This window comes from Homo sapiens, chromosome 12 (genome assembly GCF_000001405.40).
Source record: "Homo sapiens chromosome 12, GRCh38.p14 Primary Assembly".
In the NCBI taxonomy this organism is placed as follows: Eukaryota; Metazoa; Chordata; class Mammalia; order Primates; family Hominidae; genus Homo; species Homo sapiens.
In genome coordinates this window covers 131,820,949-131,828,390 of record NC_000012.12, presented here as the reverse complement: position 1 = coordinate 131,828,390, position 7,442 = coordinate 131,820,949, and the positions used below count along the sequence as shown (strand labels likewise).

At 53.1% G+C, this 7,442-nt stretch overlaps 1 annotated feature.

The window, feature by feature from the left end:
• Positions 4-133: a silencer, noted in NCBI's record as "silent region_5099". NCBI's record gives its function as "represses an Ori minimal core promoter by ATAC-STARR-seq in GM12878 lymphoblastoid cells {active_cell/tissue: GM12878}" and the evidence as "EXISTENCE:reporter gene assay evidence [ECO:0000049][PMID:35858748]".

The window sequence follows — 7,442 nt, the reverse complement described above, 5'->3', positions numbered from 1 at the left end:
GCCCCGCGCGGCAGCCTCAAGCGGCGGGGCGGGGCCATGCAAATGTATGCTAACGAGGCCGGCCGCCTTAAAGGGCCCGCGCCGCCTCGGACGCTGCCACCCCCGCCCGCCCCGCCGTGTCCGCGACGGGACTGGGTCCGCGGCATCACAGGGAAGGCGTTTCCCCGGGTGTCTTAGGACGCTCTTGGGGCGGCGGGGACGCGCGGGATGGGCGCGGAGGCGGGGGTCGGGGCGCCTGCGGGGAGCTGACCCTGACTCCCCTCTCCGGCCGCGCTCCCGGGTCCACCCCCCACGGCGCCGAGGCCCGGGTTCAGACCCGGGTTCAGGCCCCGGAGCCGCCGCCGCAGCGCAGCAGGTGGGCGCTTGGTGGAGCCCGCGGACCGCGGGAGAGGGAGGGTGGGGCTTGGGGGGCGCGGGGGACTGGAGGGCGAGGGCGGGTGTTGGGGGGGCTGGGGTCCTCGGCGGAGGCTCTGCGGTCCCTGCGGGCCTGGGAGCGAGAATGTTAACTTGTAATGTTTGTTGGAGCGCAGCGTGTGCCTGGCACATGCCCAGGAGTTACATAAATAATTTCATTTACTTACAACATTTATGAGATGAAAACTATGATTTCCATTTCGCAGACAAAGAAACTGAGGCCCAAAGAAATGAAGTAACTTATGGGAGGTCCTGGAGCGGGCAAGCGGCAGAGCCAGGGTCAGAGCCCGAGCAGGCGCTTGTGTGGATTGAACTCGTGCAAGTTGCGTACAGGCTGCCCACCGAGTGGGAGATCTTGGGAGAGGGCAGGGGGTGAGGTTCAAGGGTAACCCTTGCCTTTATTCAGCTTCTCCTCGTGCTGGACAGCATGGCTTCCCCTCCTTCCCAGGCCCTCCTGCTCCACCACCCCAAATCGCAGCTGGTACTGTCAGGACTGAGGTCTCATTCTACGGACAGGGAAACTGAGGCTCGGCCCCTTTTACCAGAACTGGTCTCAGGGAAGTGGTGCCCCTCCCCTCCTGTGAGGGCCGACTCCCCCCAACCACCCCCCCCCCCCCCCCCCCGCTTCCCTGGGTACTCTGGCCCATCCTGTCCCTGCTGCCCTCAGAGCCTCCCTGGCCCGGTCTGAACAGGGTGATTCCACACCTGCTTCAGATGACCTTGGTTCGGACTGATGGGATCACCTGTAGGAGGTGGGGACTTTCACAGGACATCCCGGATTGTTTTTTCTTTCTTTCTTTTTTTTTTTTTTGCTCTGTTGCCCAGGCTGGAGTGCAGTGGCACGATCTTGGCTCACTGTAATTTCTGCTTCCTAAATTCAAATGATTCTCCTGTCTCAGCCTCCTGAGTAGATGGGATTTCAAGCGTGCACAACCGTGCCCAGCTAATTTTTGTATTTTTAGTAGAGACGGGGTTTCACCATGTTGGCCAGGCTGGTCTTGAACTCCTGACTTCAGGTGATCAGCCCGCCTTGGCCTCCCAAAGTGCTGGGATTACAGGCGTGAGCCACCGCACCTGGCCTCATCCGGGATTTTGACCAAGTGCATCAGGACAACCTGGTTTCCAGAGCAGAGACCCAGCCAAAGCGGCTGTAGTCAAGGAAAGGAAGCGTATGGGTATGGGCTCAGGAAACGGTGGCGTCCTAGCGTGTGCCAAAGTCAGGCAGGGCTGGACCAAGTCTCACAGCAACAGCGTCAGAACGCGGTTTCTCTCAGTCCATCTCTGTGTGGGGCAAAGACGGCCCAGGGCAGCTCCTGTGCATCCTTCCCCCTCAGCAGGCCCAGCCAGAGACAGACTCTTTCTCAACCAATGGTCCCAAGGCCACCTCTCTCTGGATTCTGGGTCAGGACCTGATCGTGGGGCCAGGGGCAGGGAAGTGAGCTGAAGCCCTGGGCTGGAAGGGATTCTCTACAGGAAATCAGAGGTGCTGAAGTCAGAGGAAGGGAGGGTGGATGGCAGGCAAAGCTGGGTCGAGGACTCAGAAGAGGGAACGCGGCCAGTGCCCCCACTGCATCATGGGGCTCATACACATCTGAGACTTGGAACAGGACGCTGTTGAGGGGCTGTAGCTCGGTGCTGGCAAGGGGCTTCACCGCGGGGCTTGCTGGCATTGAAGGGAGATGGCTTGTTTATGGAGCTTGGGCGACAGTGGCTTGGGATGTACAAATGTGAGAAGGGCCTTACAGGCAGGCCACTGTTCTCCCCAGAAAGGCCTGGTGGCGGCTGGTGAACTGGAGATGCTTGGTTAGACATCGGGAATTTGACCTTCCTCAAAGCAGCTGCCTGGCACCATGGCTGCTGTGTTCCCTTCAAGCCTGCCACCCCATTCGGACATCTGAAAGCCGCTGAGATCCAAGCCCCGCAAGAAATCGCTCTTCTCCCATCAGCTTTGCAACGCTGAAAAATCATGACGGCACGGTGGCTCACACCTGTAATCCCAGCACTTTGGGAGGCTGAATTGCAGGCGGATCGCTTGAGCTCAGGAGTTTGAGACCAGACTGACGAATATGGCGAAACCCATGTTTCTACTAAAAATATAAAAATAGCTGTGCATGGTGGTGTGTGCCTGTGGTCCCAGCTACTTGGGAGGCTGAAGTGGAAGGATCACTTAAGCACAGGAATTCCGGCGAGACAGAGCGAGACCCTGCCACGAAAAAGAAAGAAAGAAAGAGAGAGAGAGAAAGAAAGAAAGAGAGAGAGAGAAAGAAAGAGAGAGAGAGAAAAAAAAGAGAAAGAGAAAGAGAAAGAGGGGAGGGAGGAAGGAAGGAAGGAAAAAGAAAAACCACGTATTATCATCTGTGGAGGAGGGTGTGGGGAGTGGGCACTCAGGCTCCTGGTACAGCCCCTCGGGAGGGCCACCAGGTAGCAGCTATTACGATTCAAGAAGCACATGTTCTGCGGCCAGAATTCTTGGCGTCTGCTGTAGAGGAACGCTCCGGTCTTTGCACGGGAAGGCTAATGCAAGCATGGTGTTGCAGCGGGATTTGTAATAGGAAAGAATTCAGAAACTGCCCACGCGCCCACCCATGGCCGACTGGCTGATCCAGGGCCATGTGTCCTGCTGGCTGTGGCCAAGGGCATGGGTAGGGGCTGGAGTCCCACCTGCACCCTGTTTATGGATCCATGGCCTCACCGTGGGGCCACAGCACATGAGGAATCAGGCACCTTTCCAAGACCCACAAAGCTGCTGTGTAAGCTGGTGGCTGCCCTGGGCTGACAACACTGGGCTATGACCCAAAGACAGAAGCCAGGAAGAAGGGATTCGATCCAAGAGTATCCGCAGGGCCACTCAGACATATTGCTGGATTTTTTTCTTTTTTAAGACGGAGTTTTGCTCTGTCACCCAGGCTGGAGTGCAGTGGTGCGATCTCGGCTCACTACAATCTCTGCCTCCCAGATTCAAGCCATTCTCCTGCCTCAGCCTCCCGAGTAGCTGGGATTACAGGCACCTGCCCCCACGCCCAGCTACTTTTTATATTTTTAGTAGAGACAGGGTTTCACCACGTTGGCCAGGCTGGTCTCAAATGCCACACCTGACTTCAGGTGATCCACTCAACTCGGCCTCCCAAAGTGCTGGGATTACAGGTGTGAGTCACTGTGCCCGGCCTCAGACATACTGTTGAGCAAATTAAACAATTTATGAGAAGCAAGAAAAGCAGAAAGCAGAAAAGACCCACAATAACTGTATCTTGTATTTATGTTTGCCACGTGCACATCCACACGTTGCATCACATCTTCTGAGCCCCCTGATCCAGCCTTGCCTGCTATCCATCTCCCTTACCCTGCAATTTCCTTTAGAAAAGCCACCTTTGTCCCTGTCAGCCCAGGGTTTAGTGATGCTGCCCCATGCCTGGAGCATTAAACCTGGGCTGGGCCCATCAGCTCATTTCCAGCCCCTGGCTGGAGACTCAGGTAGCGTTGTCTGTGGACCATGAAGATGGGCAAATGACAGGCGGGCACTATTGTCGGAGCTCTGTGGGACACACGCTTGGGGCTCCTAGCTGTGACATGAAGGTTGTAGGAAAGCCAGAGGTGCCCAGCCCTGGTCTGTAGCCATCCGGGTGCAGACACTCTGACGGGCAGCTCCCAGGTGGCCCTGCCCACGGTTGCTCCTGTGGGGACCCAGGACCCTCGTGTCAGGCAGTGAGGAGGGGGTGCTGTGCCCCTGGTTGTATCGCTCAGGGTGAATTCCATTCAAGGCTCTTTGGGTGTAAGTGACAGGAAGCCCAGTGCAGAGAGGCCTGAGCACAAAACACTGTGTTTGGCTTATGTCACCCATTTCAGAGATGGGCCCTCCCTGGACCCTATGCCAGCCCCAGCCTGGTTGGTCTTCTCCTCAGCCCAGCGTCTTCGAAGTCCTGGTTCCAAGTCCTCATGCACTGGTACCTGGCTTCCCTGCTGCCACGAACACCACCAATGGAGGTCCTCAGCCCCTCGTTGTTGACTTTTAAATGTTAATTAATTAATTAATTAATTATTTTTGAGATGGAGTCTCACTCTGTCGCCCAGGCTGGAGTGCAGTGGTGCAATCTCAGCTCACTGCAGTCTCCGCCTCCTTGGTTCAAGCGATTCTCCTGCCTCAGCCTCCCGAGTAGCTGGGATTACAGGAATGCGCCACCACGCCCAGCTAATTTTGTATTTTTAGTAGAGACGGAGTTTCTCCACGTTGGTCAGGCTGGTCTCGAACTCCTGACCTCAGGTGATCCACCCGCCTTGGCCTCCCAAAGTGTTGGGATTACAGGCGTGAGCCACTGCGCCCCGCCCCACGTATCTTTTTAAAAGATAAATGTTATCGTGTGCATTTACGGTGTACGTTGTGGTGGTGTAGGGTACGTATACGTAGTAAATTGGTGGCCACAGCAGAACGGGTGAGTTTTGCATCATCTCCCAGGCACCTGTCTTCCTCCCACAGCCAGCGCAACCATGACCCATGCATTAGCAGACGCCTGGAGCATAATTATTCTCTGCAGCCCTCAGGTGCACACGAGCCCTTTTGAAGGGGCTCACCCTGTCGCCCACTGTTTTATTCTCTGTCTTTATATATTTGATCCCCACCTTTTTATTTATTTATTTTTGTGAGACAGGTTCTTGCTCTCTTGCCCAGGCTGGAGTGCAGTGGTATGATCACGGCTCACTGCAGCCTCAACCTCCTGGGCTCAAGCAATCCTCCCGCCTTAGCTTCCCAGGTAGCTGGGACCACAGGTGCACACCACCACACTTAACTAATTTTAAAAACATTTTTGTAGAGATGGGGTTTTGCTATGTTACCCAGGCTGGTCTCAAAACTCCTGAGCTCAAGTGATCCTCCCACCTTGACCTCCCAAAATGCTGAGATTACAGGTGTGAGCCACCGCACCCAATACCCCCGCCTGCCTTTATTTATTTATTTTAAAGATTCTGGATATTAGTGAGATCCTGTGATGTTTCTTTCTGTGTCTGGCTTGTCTTGCTGGCATCGTGACCCCTAGTCCATCCATGTGGCAAATGCAGGATCTCCTCTGTTTTTAAGGCTGAACAATAGTCCATCACCTCTCTCCACGTGATCATATACACCACAGTCTCCTTATCTGTCCGGCCACTGATGAATGCCCAGGTAGTTCCCTGCTTTGGCCGCTGTGGGTAGTGCTGTGGTGGACGTGTGAGTGTGGACACCTGGATGGGTGGTGAGCTGGATTCCTTCGGGTACAGGCCCAGGGGAAGGACTGTCAGGCCCTGTGGCAGTTCTATTTTTAATTTCCATAATGGCTGAAGTGCCCATACACCTTACACTCACTCTCCTCTGTAATTAACATTTTATCTTATCATGGAACGTTGGTCACAGTGAATGGACCGTAATGATACATTGTCATTAAGCATAATCCACACGTTATTCAGGTTCCCTGAGTTTTTCTCTAATGTCCTTTTTTCTGTGCCAGGGCCCCGTCTGGATCTCATGTGACATTTATTTATTTATAAAATGTATTGTTATTATTATTTTGATACAGAGTTTCACTCTTGTTGCCCAGGCTGGAGTGCAATGGCATGATCTCGGCTCATGCAACCTCTGCCTCCTGGGTTCAAGCGATTCTCCTACCTCAGCCTTCCGAGTAGCTGGGATTACAGGCACCCGCCACCATGCCCAGCTAATTTTTTGTATTTTTAGTAGAGATGGGGTTTCGCCATGTTGGCCAGGCTGGTCTTGAACTCCTGACCGCAGGTGATCCACCCGCCTCAGCCTCCCAAAGTGCTGGGATTACAGGCGTGAGCCACCGCACCTGGCCCTAAACTGGGGATTTTGTTTGTGTTGAGCACGTTTTTACTTTCTGCAACTATAAGGTTGTGTGTTTCCTGCCCCAGTCCTTGTTTTGTGTTTTTTTGTTTGGTTTGCTTTTTTTTTGTTTGTTTGTTTTTGAGGCACGGTCTCGCTTTGTTGCTCAGGCTAAAGTGCAGCGGCATGATCATAGCTCACTGCAGCCTTGACCTCCTGGGTTCAAGCAGTCCTCCCACCTTAGCCTCCTGAGTAGCTGGGACCACAGGTGCATGCCACCATGCCTGGGTAATTTTTTATTTTTAGTAGGGACAAGGTTGCCCAGGCTGGTCTCAAACTCTTGGGCTCAAGTGATCCTCCTGTCTTGGCCTCCCAAAGTGCTGGGATTACAGGCGTGAGCCACCGTGCCTGGCCCTGGGTTCCTTGTATTGGAGAATGGTATTAGAACTTCCCAACCTAAATATGAAACAGAAAGAGGCTCTCTAGAGGATATGTATATTTATTTGGGAGGGAATGTGTGTGCCATAGTAAACTATGTGTATATTAAGGGGGGTAAAGGAAGAAAAAGGGTTTTAAAGGAAAATGAGGACGCCATAATTGTTTTGAAATGAGAATATTAAGCCAATTATCCTTGGCTACGAGGAGGAATGACAAGATGATGCCAATCCGGGGTTGGACAGGCAGTTGCTGGGCAGATTTCCTTGCAGAAGTATTTTCTGGGCAAAGTTGTGTTTTTTGCAGTCTTTCGTGGTAGTTTTTATCAGGCATACAAGGCTGCGAACCCTCCCTTCATAATCTTCCCTGGCTGTATTTGTCAGGTGATTTTTTTTTACACTAATAACTCTATTTTGATTCTGAAAACTTTCCTATTTCCCCTTTTTAAAAATATTTTTTAATTTTTTTTTTGAGATGGTGTCTCGCTCTGTCGCCCAGGCTGGAGTGCAGTGGCATGATCTCCGCTCACTGCAACCTCCGCCTCCCGGGTTCAAGCGATTCTCCTACCACAGCCTCCTGAGTAGCTGGGATTACAGGTGTGTGCCATCACGCCCAGCTAATTTTTGTATTTTTAGTAGAAATGGGGTTTCACCATATTGTTCAGGCTGGTCTCAAACTCCTGACCTTGTGATCTGCTCACCTCAGCCTCCCAAAGTGCTGGGATTACAGGCGTGATCCACCATGCCCGGCCTCTTAAATTTTTAAAAAATAAATAAAGATGGAGTCT